Source organism: Homo sapiens, chromosome 3, assembly GCF_000001405.40.
Source record: "Homo sapiens chromosome 3, GRCh38.p14 Primary Assembly".
In the NCBI taxonomy this organism is placed as follows: Eukaryota; Metazoa; Chordata; class Mammalia; order Primates; family Hominidae; genus Homo; species Homo sapiens.
This window is the reverse complement of record NC_000003.12, coordinates 107365108-107383793: the sequence shown is the minus strand read 5'-3', so window position 1 is coordinate 107383793 and position 18686 is coordinate 107365108. Positions and strand designations below refer to the sequence as shown.

Genomic DNA, 18686 nt, shown 5'->3' with positions numbered 1-18686 from the left:
TCTCTTTCCTCACCCAAGAATTTCCACCTTGGCTTCCCATCCCTGGAGCACCTGTCTTGGCCCCCACTTAGTTGCTGTTCTTTGTTCCCTGTTCTCCATGGTGTCCTCCACTAGGGCCGTCAATCTATGAAATTTTCACTCCACTATCAGATAGAAGAGAGAATAAGGAGCGTGGGGGCACTGGTCCAGCTGTCAGGATTACCACTATTGCAGTTATTTTCCTGAATACACTTTAGCATGGGAATATACGAAAACTTGGCTTTAGAGTTTTATTAATGCCATTATCTCAGCTACATTGTAGTTCAGTCAGCTTTTACAGGTTGGTCAAAAATCCAACTCTAATACTATTTCTTTGTAGTACGCATTCTGAGTTTTAAAGGATTTACAAATAAAGTTTCAGAGCATAATCCACTGATATGTTAGTGACAGTCTACATTTTGAAGGTGTGTAGAAGCATTTAGAAAAAACTATATTTTTCTGTCTTGATGAATTAACCTTGAAACATTACTTTTAGGAAAGCAATGTCTTTTTCTAAATGGGACTTGATTTGTGTCCCACAAAAAAGCTAAATTAAGTTTTAAATGAAGAGTGTGGTTTTCCAATCCAAATCTAAGCAACAGACCAAAATAATTGGCAACTGGAAATAACACCATTTGAAAGTATGTTCTTTCAGGACAGGACTGATGTCTTTGCATCTCTGTTTGTTCACACCTAGCTCAGCTATTTCCTGGTATAGAGTCAAATTTCAATAAATGTTGGTGAATATTGTTTTTGAATGAACAGAATGCTGTTAGTGTCTGTGTCTACGCAAGCAAGTATTACACACTGAACTAAATTATTTATCCTAACTCAGCCTCCCTTCCCTCCAGATCCTTTTCTTTGTTGCTTATTTATACAGCGTGCAATTAAAGGTTGGCAAACGACTGTTGTAGATGATGGAATATTGGTTGAGTGCCCAGACCAGGAGGAGAGCTTCACACCCCGTCTTATTCTTATCACACTGTCTTTGGATGAGGGAGTCAAGATTTTGTTTGAAGCATTTGTATTTAGCCTGTCACTTTGTTCCCTATTTGTCTGGAGTCCTTTATGGCTGATGAAAGGAGGCAGAATCCTGAATGTGAGCTGCTTGAGGCAGGGCCCATGTCCTGTTCATCTTCATGCCTTCCATTGACATTTAGCCTATGGAGGGAAGGAAATGACCACCATATGCTAAGCACCTACGAAATCAGGCATTATTCTTGGCAGATTATACACATGATTTCATTTAATTAACACAAGAGTCTCATGACATAAATTGTTCTCAGTTCGGAGTTGAGAAAACTGAATTCAAGTTTTAAGGACTGCCAAAATCACATAGTTATGAGGGTCATGATTGTACACCCAACTAGCATAGTGCCTGATACATAATATAAATGTTTAGTAAATAGTCATTCTAAAATCTGTTCTTCTTTGAATGTCTTTGCTCTTTTTACCACCGAGTGTTTCCTCCCCAATAGATGTGTTTAATAGCAAAAACAATGATTTGAGATGTTTTGGTGAATGCACAATGACTTTCATGTTTGACTGATATACATTATAGACATTCGTCTAATTATATTTATATACATTTTTTTGTAGACACACAAGTGGAGAAGATAAATAGTAATTTGGAACCAAAACTCAGGACGTCCCAGGAGAGGCTAGATTAGGAATTCTTTGATTTGGGATCACGAAAATGAAGTATCCATATTTTAACAGAATGATTAGTGGCAGAGGAATCATCTAAGAAAACTGAGAAGACTCTGCCAGAGTGATGGGAAGAAAACTAGATGAGAAAGCACCATTCTGGAAGACATGCTCCCATGAACCATGGAGAGAAGAGGAGAGGGAAGGTGAGGACAGGGAGGGTGGGCCTCTCATTAAAAAAGATGATGGGAAATTGGCAGGAGACGAGGGGAACACAAGGACAAGGGAACCAGGTGAGTATTTTTGTAAGCGGAGTACAAAGAACTGAGAGGTGGTGATTAAGATGGAGGGGAAAGGGGGAGTAATTGATGAAGACTCTGCAAGGCACTGGTGGAGGAATGTGGGTTAGAGAAACGCCACTTCTCCAAGCCAGGAGGGATGGAGGTGGGCTGGTGAGAGGCAGGTGAACTTGCAAACCAGGACTGGGGAAAAGTTATTTGCTCACATGCTGAGTTATAAGATGATTTATAATTTTAACAAGTCATGTGAGATCTTGTCTAGGTGACAATAAATAATTGACTCAGAAGTAAAATCCTCCCTTTGCTCACAGGGAACTCAATTCATTAACAGGACAAACAGAATCCTCTCTAGGGAAAGTGCGAGACCTTGCGAAAATCACGTAGAGTCACTTTCTCCCCCTCTAACATTCTTATGTAGGTAAAGAAAACAGGTTGAAATGAGCATGGTGGGAATCTCTGAAGAGAAAAATTAGATCCATAAAAGGGTTGAAATAATAGCCTGTCTGTACTTTATGTTGTATAATGCCCGGTGGCTTTCACATCCCACGTTCCTTACTATCCCCCCGCCCTCTGCTCCTGTTTTTCCCTCTGTCAGCTGCATTGTCCTCTCCACCTCCTCCTCACTTTACTTCCTTAGCACAAGGCTCATCAAGCTTGTTTCTTCTCTGACACCAGCAATACTTGCAGTATTGCTATTTGCTGCCCATCCCCATTTATCATGTCTCAGAGTTCTTTGTGTACATTTTTTATTTATGCCATTTAATGTTCTATATTTACAGGACATGGAATGTCTACCTTTTCTTGTATCCTCCATGATCCCTTATTATTAGTGAACACTGAAAAAATATTTACTAAGTTCATATAATGATTATATTTTTACAGCTGACAGAAAAACCTCATTGAAATTAAATAATATAATTTGTAAGAGTAAAATTTAGGACTTAGGTTGAGAACCTTGGTCTTTTGATCCTCAAGCGTGTGCCTGTAAACTGCGTGCCTCTCTAGAAACATTAAGGGCTGTGTAAGGGACATGTGAGGGGGAAAAATGAAAGTCAGTGCTGATATACAGAGGCTCAGACGACCCAGGCTTATACCAGCTGGGTCACTTTTTTCTCTTCCAGAAGTTATTTGTGATGTCATTTGCCTGTGTCATGGCCTGCCTTCCCTAGATATTGTCCTAATGTGAGCATCACACCTAAGGTACTGAAGTAGAGTTCTGGCTGTTCCTTACGGACATCTCTGGTGGTAAGTAAATACATAGAGATTGCTAGTGCCTTTAACAGAACAATACATTGTAAGCACAGTTATCTCATTTTTAAACAAACTCATTTAATAAATACCTTTGCTTTTATTAGGTATGTTGCATATTGACATATTTTATTTTTTAACTTTTATTTTAGTTTTGGGGTACATGCGCAGGTTTGTTTTATAGGTAAACTCAAGTCGTTAGTACCCAGGTACTAAGCCTAATACTCAATAGTTATTTTTTTCTGCTTCTCTCCCTCCTCCCAACCTTCACTTTCAAGTAGGCACCAGTATCAGTTGTTCCCTTCTTTGTGTCCATGAGCTCCCATCTTTTAGCTTCCACTTGTGAGAACATGTGGTAGTTGGTTTTCTGTTCCTGCATTAGTTTGCTAAGGATAATGGCCTTCAGCTCCAGCCACATTCCTGGAAAAGACATGATCTCATCTATTTTTGTGGCTGTCTATAGTATTCCATGGTGTATATGTACCATATTTTCTTTATCTAATCTGTAATTGATGGGCATTTAGGTTGATTCCCTGCATTTTGACATATTCTAAAAGTTATTATGTACATATCTATAAATTTGTAAAGAAGGATCAAATAGAATATATTTGTCAATGAAAAAATAATGTGTTATATAATTACTCCCAGATTGGCGTCAGACGAAGCTGTGTCTTAATTTTTGCTGTGCCCACCTTTAGGTCCTTTGTCCTCTTTCATTTGTTCTCAGCTAGCTACCAAAACCCCCCTTTCAAAGTATTGACTGCAAATAATTAAGTGTAGTACATTTGCCAGGAATATTTGTGGTTTAATATATGACCACAAAGGAAGGTAGCGTTCATTCACTGAGTTAAGTGGTGAAGGAAACATTGTTTTTCAGTTATTCTGCATGATATTCAGAAATTACAATGACAACCACCTGTTATATCTAAAAATGAAGCTCTTCTTGGCTATATGCTTTAAACAAACAAACAAAGAAAAACCTATCATATAAGAGTTTATGGTATTATAGTGGTAAGATTTAACTTAGTTCACAAACCCCTTCTTAGATCTTCCCTTTTCCCCTGCATCAAACCTATAGGACATGGTATTTTTCTCCTTTCATGAAAATGTAAAAATTACCCAGTATCATATTGTCTTTCTCCTCTTATCTAATTGTTTCATAGAAAAGAAGCTGAAGTTGAAAGAAAAAGCCAATATTTTGAATATGTTCCTTGCAATAACTTAGCCTTTCAATCCCTTTCATTTTTATACTGCTAACTTTAGTAGCCTTGACAATGGGTATCCTTTTCACTCTATACTACCTAAAGTCTGACCGGGCGTGGTGGTTCATGCCTGTAATCCCAGCTCTTTGGCAGGTCGAGGTGGGTGGCTCGCTTGAGGCCAGGTGTTTGAGACCAGCCTGGTCAACATGGTGAAACTCTGTCTCTACTAAAAATACAAAAATTAGCTGGGTGTGGTAGCGTGCGCCTGTAATTCCAGCTACTCAGGAGGCCGAGGTAGGAGAATCACTTGAACCCGGGAGGTGGAGGTTGCAGTGACCCGAGATTGCACCACTACACTCCAGCTGGGTGACAGAGTGAGACTCCATTTCAAAAATAAATAACAAATAAAATGAAGTCTTGTCAGTAGTGTATGTTTCTGGTATCACAAACCGTATCCACAAAGGCCACGAGGACAAAGTGTATAGAAAACTGACATGGAGGCCACCAAACATACTACACATTGCCCTGGACTCCTTCATTCTTTGTTTCCAATTATCTATGAAAATGGACCCAGGATGAGTCCTCATGAATTGCCTTTGAGAAAACAAGAACATTGAGAGAAAACGAATTACAACAGTTCAATTAGATCATGTGCCTTAACTTACTGTAGACATAGAGAAACTCTGCAGATAGTGGGCCCAGAGTGAGCAAACTACCGAAGAATTCACAGCCACCACACCAATGTGTGAATACTTGGAGCCTCCAGGTTACATTTATTTTGTGCCAAGCAAAGCAGAACATAACTCTATAGTCGAGTTACTTCTTCTTTTAAGGAACAAATAAAGCCGTAAATATTGTTGAAGATGGAGAGACAGATTGTGGTCAAGCTCAAAATGGGCCCAGTGAATGGACAGTATCTCTGGGTTATGACCTGGGGTTCCTCAGGAAGAATGGTTGGCCTAGAAAGAAGCCACTGGATGAATTCTTCTAACTTGGTAGCACTGAGGAAAAATGTCCATTTTCCTCCATGAACAAAAGTTAGCTTGATCCATGTACTGAAGTCTGGGTAAATGTAAATATTTGGCTTTGCTTTTTCAAAGCTCCTTGATGCATTTTGATGGTTACGTTTCTTCAGAGTTTTCATTTGGGGAGAAATTGTTTTTTTCTCAAGATGGTCAGTGGACTTTGGATAACTGGGCACTTTCTCTGGTTCTGCTGAAGAGATTTCCATGTCTGTAGAGGCCAAAGTGTTCTTCAGAGTTGCTGGTTGTATGAGTTTGTAAAGCAGTTCTGTGATTTCTTTACCCCTTTCTCCCTCCAGAATCTCTAGACAATGTATCGTGGAGCAGGAATTCTGAATTTCCAGTTCTGTCACCTTCTTCTTTAATGCCTTGATGTCTTCTTTCATAGAGAGGATATCTTTAGTCGTTGTGCATTGTTTGTCTTCATTAACATTCATTCTGGTTTCCAGGACCTCCATCTGTTTTTGATACAAGTCAGTCTTTTCCTGGACTTTTGGTATCATATGGACAATGTCAGTCATTTGGCTGAAAAGTTCAACTTGAGCAGTTTTAACATCTTGGAGCACTACTGGAAGATTCATTTTTCCGTCATAACTATCATCATCTTGATTACAATCATCAGATGTCACAGTGGGATATCCAGTTGAATCTTGGTGCCGAATCTTACATTTGTGGTAAACATTTTTAAGAGACTGTCTGACCTTGGAGAGATTTGAAGTCCACATCTGCCTAGCAGCAGCTTTTACCCTTTTGGTGTGAAGTGTGTACATCTTTCATGGTGAAACAAGAGGCAAGGTGTTGGAAAACAGAATCACAGGAAGAAATAATGTACAAATGAAATGGTCCTTCTCTTACTATTTGTTGGATGCCTTTCCTGATAACATCTTAGAACACTCTGGAAATCATCAGCCACAGCAATAGACACTGTTAGGTGATTAGCTTCTTATAGAGCAGCCCAACCAGAGAGCTCTGTGAAATAATAGTCAACTGCATGGAATCTTTCATATGGTAATCATTGACCTGCTGCTGATGTCACAATGACTGCTGGCTTAGAACAAACATATTTAACTACAGCAGTTCTCAAAAGTTTTGGTCATAGGGCTCTTTTTGAATCATAGAAATTGTTGAGCAGCCTGAGGAACACAGAAAAACACCTGTTGCTACAAAAAAATAAAAAAATTAGCCAGCCATGGTGGTGCATGCCTGTAGCCTCAGCTACTTGGGAGGCTGAGGTGGGAGGATCACTTGAGCACAGGGGGTGGAGACTGTAGTATGCCATGATGGTACCACTGCACTCCAGCCTGGGCGACAGTACAAGACTCTGTCTCAAAATGAATAAATAAATAAATAAATAAATAAAAATAAAAATGAAAAATTATTGAGGATCACACAGATTTTGTTTATTTGGGTTATATCTACCTACATTTTATAGTAGACATTAAAACTAAGAAAGTCTTAGATAATTAGTTATTAATTTAAATTTAAAAACCCATTACATGTTAACATAAGTGATATATTTTCATAAAAAATAATTTGGTTTTCTAAAAAAAAAGTGAGAAGAGTGGCATTGTTTTACATATCTGCAAGTGTTTTAAATACCTGAATTAATAGAAGATAACTAGATTCTCATATCTGCTTCTGCATTATATCTGTTGTGATATATTATTTTGAAGTATATGAAGAAAAAATAGCCTCATGGAGTTACGTAAATGGAAAGGGGAGAGTATTTTCATAGCTTTTTCAGATAATTGAGGATATCATTCTTTGCTACTTTATGAAAATTTGACAAATGATTTTTTTTAAGAAGTTAGCTGCAATGTGTCATTTTAGGCCAAATCAAAGAAGTTTCATACTCTGTTATATTAATAGCCGCTGGTCTATTTTTTATTTTGAATAGATGCATAATATCATGTATTGGTCATTTGGCAAACAATGGTTCACTGAATTATGTAGGTCTTCCAAATGTCAACTCATTGTATTATATAATATCAAAATATCATTTTCATTAATATCTCCACCAATCTCACCAGAAAAGTCTTTGAGTACTGAGAAGAGGCCAAGCTCATGGTAGCAAATGCAGATTTTTCAAAATTCTAATTTTAGCTTGAAAATCTTGAAATTTATCAAGCTGGTTTATTGTTTTCCTTGAAGTGACAGATTCCCTCCATCCATTTTTTGCAAAAATGCTTGCCAAATGCCCAACTATGAACACTGTAGTTTGTTGTCAGTTTTTTTCAAGAAAAAATAGTGTTCCATGAAAAAAGCACACATTTGTAATTCAAATACTTATGTACGTTTCCTCATGAAAACCAGTATACTTTGTTAAGCTGCAGAAGCACTTATGTTTACTTCCCATTATATCATACATAATATAAAAAAGATGTACTGAAGGGTTGAGATCTAATAAGATTAAAAATTCTTACTGCTTCATTGAGGACATTCTTGAGTGAAACTGGTTTTTCTTGTATTTTTTTCCTTTTCTGATTGAGTCACTGTTAGTCAGTGTGGTACCCCTGCTGTAGTTCATGCTAAGGTATCAACAGTTTTACCCACCATTGCTTTTGCAATGTAATTTTCAACAGGCAAATGTAAGCACAGTGGAAGAGACAAACGGTGTCCTGGGATTATTTTGAAATATTGTTGCCCTCATTGTCACACTTACAGAGTGGTCTCATGACACAAAGCATTCCACACTTTGAGAGCCACTGCCTTAGAATTTAAAAATAACAGCAGCCATTTCTCATGTTCCTTCTTATAGGTTTTTCTACATAACAGTATTTGAAATTCAAACCCTTTGAAATATTAAATAATATTTGGCCCATTTTATATATTGAGGTAAAAACTTAATTTTATTCTCTAAACACATTAGACTGAACACTCTGGAATCAAAATGACGTGTTACTCACATGTCTCTCAAGGAGCAGTCCCATTCTACTCAAAAGGACATTCCCTCTTGGATCCATGCCAATTCCAACCTTCTACCAAATCACTGTTTCTTCTATCTGTGCCCAATTGGAGGGTCAGTGTTGGCCCAGGATTTGGTACAAACAGTGAGCTTTTCCAGCAGTAATTTTAAAATTTTGGCTCATCAATAATATCTGGGATTTTGCCTTACTCTCCTATCTTTCAAATGCTGTTTAGTAACCTTTCGAAAATGTCTAGAAACCTTTCCAAACACTTGCTGAGGAAAATATTCTCCAAGAGGCAGACTATCACAGGAATGGCATTTGGGGCTTGGAAAGGTTAGAGTTCACAGCCGTCCCGTTTACTCTGGCTAAGGCCATTTTATCCGTCGAGTTCTGCAGACACAGTACTTAGGGCCCATACAGTTTTTAAGGGCCAATGAAAATACTTAAGAACAGAAGAAAAAAAAAACAGTGGCTCAGAATACTGAAAGAAAGCTGCAAGATTGAAGCAATAAATGTTTAATGAAACGTCTCTGAAATGTACTATGTCATATTCATTAATTGTTAGATTTAGTATTATTAAAATTTCATTACATTTGGAGGCAATTTGTGTATTACGTATTCTCACTTTCCAAGAATTCCCAGTTAAATGAGAGGGACTGCTTGTCATAATTACTCCCTCCAGGTTAATAACAGCTAAGACTTGTTGGGTGCATACCAGACACTGCTCTAAGTATTAGCTTACTTAACTATGTTCAGAGAAGTCAAGTAACTTTCCTAAGGTAATAGAGCTTAAAAATGGGCAGAGTCAGATTTCAAATGCTTACATTCTGGCTCCAGAGTCCATGTGTTTTACCTCTACTGCCTCACAATCATGATTAAAATATATATTTAGTACAACTCAGAAAAAGATGGACATTTTCTTTTTAAAATCCTACTGTATATTTATAGAAGACTTATTTTATTAAAATTTTGTCTGTTTAGCATTATGAGAAAATTTAAGCTTTCATCGGTTATTTTATTTACCAAAAGCATTTGATACAGAAATTTGTGAAGACTTTAGAAGTTGAACAAGCTCTAATTTGTAGGTAAAAGTGAATATTTGGAGGCTTACTTTCCTTACTGTGGTAGACATAGTAATACAATAATTGGAATTAAAAAAATTAAAGTTTTCAACTTAAAATATGAGTGTATGCTTACTATTTTTATAAAACAAATAAATCTAATAGGCTGATACAAACATAAACCTGTCTGGGTTTCTAACTACTTCCTTCGTAATGTCAATAAAGGGAGCCTTGGCTTATCTGGAGTTTGCCAGGTGGTGAAAAGTTGCACCGGGAGGAGGTAAGCCTATTGATTTGGGCGAAGTTATGAGAGCAGTCAGAAAGTGAATGAATAACGGGAAATAAGCTGACTTCCGCTCTTCGGGTTCCTGCCAAGGGTATGGTGGCATTTAGAAATAAAATAGCACAGTGGTCTGAAGCCTAGTGGGAGACTTCCTGAGTCTACCTGTTCTCCAGGAGGTTGGCTTTCACAGGAATGGTATTTGGAGCCAGAAAGGTTCAAGGCTGTCCCATGACTAACTCAGTGCTCTTACACAAGTTTCTAGCCTCCCACAAGCCTGTAAAATGGGATAATAACAGCACCTAGTTCAGTGACTGGTTTTGAGAATTAAGATGCTGAATAGTTACAAGTCCTTTCCTCCTCATTTCCCACCACCTGTCTCTCACTTCTCTTCTTCCAGATGAAAGGAGATGGTTAACCGTTTTCAGCTTTAGCGCTGCCTGCTCTCTCAATCTCTCACTCTGCCTTTCTCCCTCTTTCAATATGACCAAGACATAAAGTGTGTGGTCCTTGCTGCCCAATATACCATGCAGGGAAAGCATTTCGATTAGAGGCAACTGAAATGCAGCAAACAAGGCTGACACATCAGCCCTTTATCTCTTAGCACAGGGTTTCCCAACCAGCTTTGGTTTCAGGCAGACTGGAGTAGAATAACCACTGGTTAGATGGGTCTAATAATACATAATATTATTCAATATTTTAAATGCTGTGTTTTTGAGTACACTAACTATATATTAATTATGGCAGAGTTTAGATTATCTATATAAATTACATATATAAAAGTCACTCTGGGCCGGGCACGGTGGCTTACGCCTGTAATCCCAGCACTTTGGGAAGCTGAGGCGGGCGGATCACAACGTTAGGAGATCGAGACCATCCTGGCTAACACGGTGAAACCCCGTCTCTACTAAAAATACAAAAAATTAGCTGGGCATGGAGACGGGCGCCTGTAGTCCCAGCTACTTGGGAGGCTGAGGCAGGAGAATGGCGAGAACCCGGGGGTCGGAGGTTGCGGTGAGCCGAGATCGCGCCACTGCACTCCAGCCTGGGCGACAGAGCGAGACTCCGTCTCAAAACAAACAAACAAACAAAAACAACAACAACAAAAAAGTCACTCTGTTTTTTTTAAACATGTTTTTTTGTGTGTGTAGGAGAGAGTGGGATAGTTACAGCTATCCTGCTAGCAATTGAGCATTATGTATAACGTTTGTGTTACACCTGTAGTGATCTACTATTACTCATGTTACCTTAGGGGTCGTGACCACAAAAACTTATTAAGAGTCTTTAACTTCCCCCACAAAATTTAGGGGCCAGGTTCACAAGAATCTGGACCCTCCCACGTGACTATCACCTGTCATGTGCACGGTGGGATAAAAGATTGAGGAAACAGGAACCAGGAAAGTCTTTCGAATTTGATCAGGGTGGGCTGACTCAAGGGGATAAGAATGTGCGAATTCAATCTCCTGTTACACATGCTAAGTAGTTATGAAGGGCCCAAAGGGAAAGCTGTCTTCTACTTTTCTTTCTTTTTAGCCATGAGAAATAGAAGAGAGTGGGCTTGAAATCAGAGCTGTTGCACTGGACCAGGACAGAGAAACAGGGGAAAGTCACAGTGTTTATAATGTAGGCAAGGTTTCAGGCTGAAGGAAGCGATGGAGCCCAGGGACATTGATAAGGCCATCTGGTGAGAGTGACACGTGGGGTAAGGGAAAGGGCCGCATCCACTACGTGGTTCTAATAAATATTCATAATGATAGTTTAAAATCCTGTGAGACCACAAGCCAAAAAATGAGGTGAACACCTTTGAGGAAATGATGGAACGATAACTTTTAAATAATATTTGGCAATGATATTTTACTTTTTCACTATAACTAAAATTGTATGGTCTTTCTGGAAAATCTTTCATCTGTTTATCGCCAGGGCAAATTTCTACCCATCCTTTGGAGTCATTCATTCATCTACTACACTTGTCTTGCCTTTTCTGATTCTCCTTATAGTCTTCCCAATGCTTCCAACAGATCTGGGTCTCCATCTAGCAATGATTCCCATATTGTATTGTTATTGTTGGTGAGCCTATCTCCCCTCTAGATTCCGAGTTCCTTGAGAGGAGAGACTTGGGTTTGTTTTTTTTTTTTTTTAGAGACGAGTCTCGGCATGTTGCCCTGCCTGGACTCAAATTCCTGGGCTCAAGCCATCCTTCTGCCTCAGCCTCCCCAGTAGCTGGGACTGCAGGTGTGCACCACCAGAGACTTGCTTTTTAACTCTATATCCTCAATGTCCCAAAGCCTAACATATAGTTAGTGCTCAAAAAATCTTTATTCATTGAATGAAAGGATGAATGAATGCACCTGTGGATGATTGTCAAGATGTTGATTGGGTCTCTCCTGAGCCTATTTCTATGGACAGCAAGGAGATACACTGTTTTACTCAGAATGGGAATAACTTTTCTCAATTCCTGGGGGATCATTTAGCAATTTTGGGATAGGATTTAATAATTGCTCCCCACAGACTTGAAGCAGTTAAGTGGCAGTAATTTGAGAGAGATGGAGGTAATTACATACCTGGAAACAGCTATGGAATGGAGAGAGAGAGCCCAGTAATGATGGTGACAGGGGTGGTGTTGATGGCTCTGGTCCTAGAGGTGACCAAAGTACATAGCATATGTACCCCCTGTGCAACATATTAAGTCTTTCAGGCCTCTAGAGAACCACAGGGTATCAGTGTATTCTCCATACCTCTGTGGGATTGCCCGAGAATGCATTCGTCATCAATTTAGATACTCAGGCACTTATCTCTTTATTTCTGTCATCTTATACTGTGAACTCCAAATTTACAATGAACTCTCTCTAGCTTATCTAAACATACCCTTCACCATGTAGTTCCATAACCCTTGGGGCACATTAGCATTTTATTTGATCTCTCTTCCCTGTCATCTTCCTCCAGTTCTTTCTGTTACGCTTGGCTCTCCCTGGTAATTTATTATATGAGGTTGCCTAGTTTCTGTAATTCTCAACTTCACCTCTTGGTTTCCCTTCTCAAATACCACCTTGAAACCTCTGCTCCCTTTAGCTTATGATTGACACTCTTCTTATAGTGCTTTATAAGTCTCGATGTGCACAATTGATGCAGCCATAAAAATAAATGTCTGGAAAAATGAAGGGAAACTGAAAGAGATTTGTTTTCACTTAACCATTCACCTCTTTCCTTTAATGGAACTGGTGAATAAATTCAGTGAGTTAGTCTATTTAAACACCTTTGTTTCACTGAATTTATATCATTTAGCAGATCTTTTTTGGAAACCATTATGTGACGGGTGCAGCACAGTGTCAACTTGCTATCTTGTTCCTGAATTGTATTGTTCTTCATTTAGGAAACCAAAAATTAAAAGCTAGAGAATAAATAGTGATCACATTGGAAATGGGGATTTAAGTGTGTACAAATCCAGAAATCATAAAGTGTAAAAAATTGGAGAATGCTAGTATTCCCATTTCTAATTATTATACTGTGTAGTTTGCAGTGGTGTCGTCTCTGGGTATGTTACTATGTTAGTATAGCCTTAATTTTAAGAAAAACTCTGTTTTTCTGTTTGGCTTTTTAGTTGTCCTAATGCTTTGTAGTACTTTGGAGTACAAAATCCAAGGAGCTATCTTCTTTCTTATTCCAACATTTTAAAGGTGATAAAGTGAAATATTGCACTGGCTTTTCCTAATAGTGCTCACCTTGAGAGACATGTATTATGATGGCATTTTATGTTTCTAATGGAATTTGCACCCATATCTCTGTGAAGTGAATGTGTATTTATCCCTTGACTGTATTTTGCTTTCTGTTATTAGTGTCCTCTCTATCTTGGGTGTATTATTTTTCCGTTTCATTCCATCTATACAATGAGAACAGCAGTAAAGCCATATGTTGACATTGAAGGGGGTCACAGAATTAACATGAAAATGTTTATTATATCTAATTTTAAATTTTATATTATATCTCTTATTTAAGAACTGTAAACGTCTTATTATGCATGGTTTTGGCAGTGTTTTTTCTTCAGCAGTTTGATTTTGGAATCATTTCCTTTCTCTGTTTAAAGCTACAGGCATCCTTTTTCCTGCATGGGTTTGGATTACAAAGATCTTATTTAACTTCCCAAATGTATTCCTTCTGCTTGTGCGCTATGATTACACACAAAATGGAAAATGTCCAAAAGGCAATCATAAAATGAAGTGGATTTTTTTTTCTTCCTTCTCTACCTAGGTTTTTATAACTATAACTATGATAATCTGAGGAGAAAATATTTATTCATTTTTTTAAATATTTATTGAAGGCTCCCCCAGTAGAAATGTGTACTGTTGCTGCAGCTGTTTCTATTATGCCAAAAGCCAGCTAGAATACAAAAGGTGTTTAGGAATGTTTAACTGTAAGATTGAGAATTTTATTTTTTTGGGGGAGATGGGTACTTCTCTTTCTGGAAATTTGAGTCTCTTTCTTGTAGTCTAAAAGTAATGTAAGTATTGAATAACAAAAAAGTAGAATGATTGGGAGGCCAAGACAGGTGGATCCCTTAAGGTCAGGAGTTCATGATCAGCCTAGCCAATATGGTGAGACCCTGTCTCTACTAAAAATCCAAAAATTAGCCGGCCATGGTGGCACGTGCCTGTAATACCAGCTACTCAGGAGAGGCAGAGGGTGCAGTGAGCCAAAGTTGTACCACTGCACTCCATCCTGGGCAACAAAACAAAACTTTGTCTCAAAAAAAAAGTACAGCGACAAGACAGTTCTATTAAATACATATTTCAATAATTTTCAGCTTCAGTGTTTGGCACTAATGGCTACAATTCTCACTGTAACTTGTGAGACTTAATTACTGCTCATTCTATTTAAGTGCTGAAGTTTCTCCTCCACCATGCAGTGTAAAATGAAACGAAACTGGTCTGAGCCCTTGGGCAATTTACATATTAAGATAGGCAAAAATTTCTGTTGTAACTTCCATTGAACTTTACATTTACATTTTTAAATGACATTTAAAAATAAGAACATGTTGCTGGAAATCACATTCTTTGTTGTTAGAAAGTAGAGCTGAAGTCAAATGAATGTCCAGGCTCATTGAAATGATTGAGAAAGTGATATAATTGCTTAAACCTTAGTAAAGCAGAAGATCTGGGTTCCAACATTCCTTTGAGAATCCGATGAAAGTTTTGCGTGCTTTTTCAGAAAACAGCACTGATATGGTTTGAATTTGTGTCCCCACCCAAATCTCATGTCGCGTTGTAATCCTCAATGTTGGAGGTGGGGCATGGTGTGAACTGGGAGCTGATTGGATCATGGAGCTGGATTTACCCCTTGTTCCTGAGATAATGATTTCTCACAAGATCTGGTTGTTTAAAGGTGTGTAGCACCTCTCCTCTCCCCTCTCCTTCTTTCTTTGCTCCCACTATGTAAGACGTGCCCGCTTCCCCTTTGCCCTCAGCCATGATTGAAAGTTTCCTGAGGCCTCCCCAGCCATGCTACCTGTACAGCCTGTGGCACAGTGAGTCAACTAAACCTCTTTTCTTTTTAAATTACACAGTCTCAGGTATTTCTTTATAGCAGTGCAAGAATGGACTAATACAGAATATTAGCATACACACACAAATTTGCACATAAGTACATCAGGGGATAGACACACAGACCTCTCCCACCCCAATCCTCAAAGCCCTTTATGGACACCGTAAGATATAAACCAGGTTAAAATCCTCACAATAAGAGAAGGAGGACCAAACATTATTCAGGCCCCCTTTATGAGTGTTTTTGATTTGAAGGAGCTAGAGCCTTTAGGTGGTTTAATTCAAGAACTTAGAATACGTGAAGTGCTGAGAATGCAGGCAGTTGATTATCTGAGGAACAAAGGAGGGAGATCCCCATGGAATGTATTGGCTTGGGAATGAAATCCTTGAAAACAACTGAGGTCTGGACAGGTGAAAGTCAAAAAGGTCTTCTGTGCTGTACACACCATGAAGTCAAGGACCCTATTTAGTTTGTTCTTCTAAACAAACCAGCTTGGTGCAAGCTATGAGCCACCAGGCTGTCAATAAATATATAGTGTTTTGTGCTTCATTTCTAGTGAGGAGTTTGAACCAAGAGAAATGACATAAACTCAGGGAGGGAATTCTGTGTGCGCCCCTGATACAAAGTGACTGAGATGAATGTCGGAGGCTGGGCTGGTATCTTTTGCGGTCAGTTGGGAGTAAATGTTTTCATAAGAGTTGTTTAAGGGTCAGATTTGCAAAATTAAATGTCTTGATTTTATTGCTAAGGAACTAAGGAATAACAGAAATGTTATATCCAGTGTTTTATTATGAAATTCTAATGGCCTTTAGAAATGGAACTTGGTAGTGAGGGTTCCAAATCTCAGAAGTTAACCGCTAGACCTAAACTGCCTACAGCAGTGGAAGAGCCGACATTTTCAATGGGACTCCTCCAGCGTGCACTTTCCTAATTTCCTAGAGTGGGTAGGAAAGAAGGAGAGGCTTTGTGGGGCAACAAAGTTATTGTTAATTTTGACTTTTTCCCTCTCCTCTTTCAGAAATATTTAAAAACGGGGGCTGTTGTTATCAAACGCAGAACCTGCTTCACCTCCCCCACCCCTTTTTTGGCTTGCTCCTTCCTCTTCCTGCCTACCTGCTGAGTCATCACTGTGGTGCAGTGAATCAGCTTTTGGCATTTCTTTATTCTGAGATGTAAATAAAATCCTTAGCTATTAAATCATTTAATGCTGTGTCACCATTGGGCATTTTTTTCCTTTTTAGATATAGAATTTACATATCTATACATGTATTTGTGTACTTTACATATATAATGCAAGTGACAATGAAGTTTTTCCTTTTTAAAACCTTGAGTTTACCCACAGCAGAACTATGTCATTTTACGTCTTATTCGCTACTGACCGTTAGGAATAAAATAATCATGTTGTGAAGTGCTTGAGGCCCAACATGCCCCAAATGAAAAGGATGGAATAGATCACAGTCTGGTCACACAGGATATATGTCGGCGGGTGGATGGGTAGGATGGTGATACCTCCTTTTTGGGACTTGGAGTTTCCACAAGGAGGGATAAGAATTAGCATATCACTTCTGCCCTGTCTCCACCCCCTCAGAGGAAGGGAATGCCTTTGCTGGTTGTGAGGTTGGACTGAGGAACTGGGCGTGCATAGCTCAGCTTCTTCCTCCTTTCCTTTGTCTTTGGGATTTGCCTGCCTGCCAAGGACACTCTTTATTCTTCATTCTGTCCTCCATGCCATCAGCTGGATAAGGGCAGACTCTGCCCCTAAAGATCAGGAGTGGGGTTTAGGGAGGCACAGAGAGAAGCCTGGAGATTCAATCCAATTCTGAGATTGGGTATTAGGAAGATTATCGTTGTCACACTTCTATGCTACATCCATCATAAGGGTGATATTTTGATCTCTGATCTACTGTACTCTTCTGACTATTCCAATTATTGTAGAAATTGGGAGCAGAATAATAGCATAATTTACTCACCTTTTCATACACTCAACAAAATAGACTAATTTGTAATCATTGCAAATTTGGATGGTATTACTCAGCCTGCGGTTTTGGAGTAGCCCCGAGTAAATTCTATTTAGAGTGAACTACATTTGGTGAGAAGCCTATGAATTTGAAATTTTGATTTTAGGTACAGAGTTTATAATTTTGATGTGACTGTACATCTTTTCTTTTTTCTTTTCACTGCAAACATGGGAAAACCATACTGAGCCGCTTTTTTAAAATGGTGTTACGAGAATTACCAGATAGAGGCATTTCGATCAGTTTCTAAAATTTTGTATGCTCTTATCTGTGATATGGGAATCATAGTATTTCATAAAGTTTTTGAGGGGATTAAACTAAATGAGAAAATGTATTTGAGAAATAGTTCAGTACTGGCCCATAATAATCATTCAATAAATGTTTAATCAATGTCTATGGTGTACTTGGCGCTGTGTCAGAACAAGAGCATTCTTTATGAATTAGTGAACTTAGCAACCAAGCATTTTGCTGTCCAAGATAGAGGAATTAAAAAGATGGGAAGAAGAAACAAGTGTTATTGGTGACCTCATCTTTTCCGCTTCTGTTTATTCTCTAAATATCTCTTTTTATTTTTAATTCAACCATTGTCATTTTGATCCTGTAAAATCTAGGTATAGTTTCTATGTGAGGGAATTTCCTTTTAAAATTGTTAATATTGCTCGAAGAAGGAGGGAAAGCCAGAAGCCAGCTGCCAGCTGGGTCTCTTGGTGACATCCCCACTGTCCTGTGGAATCAACTGACCCCAGTTCAGAGGAGAGAGTGAGAGGCCAGTAGGTGGCTCATGCTGCCAGACTAGTCTAAAACTGAGTACAGAAAGAGAAAAGAAGAAATGTTTAAATACAACCTTGAACTTTTCTTTAAAAATTTTTTTTTTAGATTTAGGGGGTACAAGTGCAATTGTGTTACCTGAGTATATTGTGTAGCCATTGCCCAAAGAGTGTACATTGTACCCATTAAGTGATTTCTCGTCCCTTATCCCCCTCCCACCCTCCCACCCTTCCTTGTCCCCAATGTCTATTATTCCACTCTCTATGCCCATGTGTACACATTATTTAGCTCCCACTTAAAAGTGAGAACATGCAGTATTTGACTTTCTGAGTTACTTCACTTAAGATGATGGCCTTCAGTTCCATCCATGTTGCTGCAGAAGACATAAGTTTACTCTCTTTTATGGCTGAGTAATATTTCATTGTGTATAAAAACCACGCTTTCTTTATTCAATCATCCATTGATGGACACTTAGGTTGATTGATTGCATATCTTTGCTAATGTGAATAGTATTAAGTTGGTGCAAAAGTAATTGCGGTTTTTGCCATTACTTTCAATGGCAAAAACCGCAATTACTTTTGCACCAATCTAATACTGTGACAAACATATGGATATAGGTATTTTTTTATATAATGAACTTTTCCTTTGGGTAGATACCCAGTAGTGGGGATTGCTGGATTGA

General features: G+C 38.5%; 1 protein-coding gene and 1 long non-coding RNA gene across 2 annotated transcripts, besides 5 other annotated features; one reads left to right on the top strand and one right to left on the bottom strand.

The window, feature by feature from the left end:
- The first annotated feature begins 1634 nt into the window (after positions 1–1634).
- CCDC54-AS1 (CCDC54 antisense RNA 1) lies at positions 1635–3318 on the top strand. The gene is made up of 2 exons (NR_126332.1): positions 1635–1871; positions 3086–3318. It is a non-coding gene; the product is annotated as a CCDC54 antisense RNA 1 (long non-coding RNA).
- A 1840-nt stretch (positions 3319–5158) lies between these two features.
- CCDC54 (coiled-coil domain containing 54) lies at positions 5159–6355 on the bottom strand. Its single transcript, NM_032600.3, has one exon. It carries the CDS (start codon positions 6204–6206, stop codon positions 5220–5222), a length of 987 nt encoding a protein of 328 aa, NP_115989.1. The 5' UTR covers positions 6207–6355; the 3' UTR covers positions 5159–5219.
- Positions 15820–17019: an enhancer, noted in NCBI's record as "MED14-independent group 3 enhancer chr3:107085622-107086821 (GRCh37/hg19 assembly coordinates)". NCBI's record gives its function as "activates an origin of replication core promoter dependent on BRD2, BRD4, P300/CBP and CDK7 cofactors, and independent of MED14, by STARR-seq in HCT116 cells {active_cell/tissue: HCT116}" and the evidence as "EXISTENCE:reporter gene assay evidence [ECO:0000049][PMID:35650434]".
- Positions 15820–17284: a biological region, named in NCBI's record as "MED14-independent group 3 enhancer GRCh37_chr3:107085622-107086821".
- Positions 16198–16492: an enhancer, noted in NCBI's record as "tiled region #4803; HepG2 Activating non-DNase unmatched - State 24:Quies, and K562 Activating DNase matched - State 6:EnhF". NCBI's record gives its function as "activates a minimal TATA promoter and a strong SV40 promoter by Sharpr-MPRA in HepG2 and K562 cells {active_cell/tissue: HepG2 | K562}" and the evidence as "EXISTENCE:reporter gene assay evidence [ECO:0000049][PMID:27701403]".
- Positions 16283–16782: an enhancer, noted in NCBI's record as "H3K27ac hESC enhancer chr3:107085859-107086358 (GRCh37/hg19 assembly coordinates)". NCBI's record gives its function as "activates a minimal SCP1, AML or CMV promoter by ChIP-STARR-seq in primed H9 embryonic stem cells {active_cell/tissue: H9 hESC(primed)}" and the evidence as "EXISTENCE:reporter gene assay evidence [ECO:0000049][PMID:30033119]".
- Positions 16783–17284: an enhancer, noted in NCBI's record as "H3K27ac hESC enhancer chr3:107085357-107085858 (GRCh37/hg19 assembly coordinates)". NCBI's record gives its function as "activates a minimal SCP1, AML or CMV promoter by ChIP-STARR-seq in primed H9 embryonic stem cells {active_cell/tissue: H9 hESC(primed)}" and the evidence as "EXISTENCE:reporter gene assay evidence [ECO:0000049][PMID:30033119]".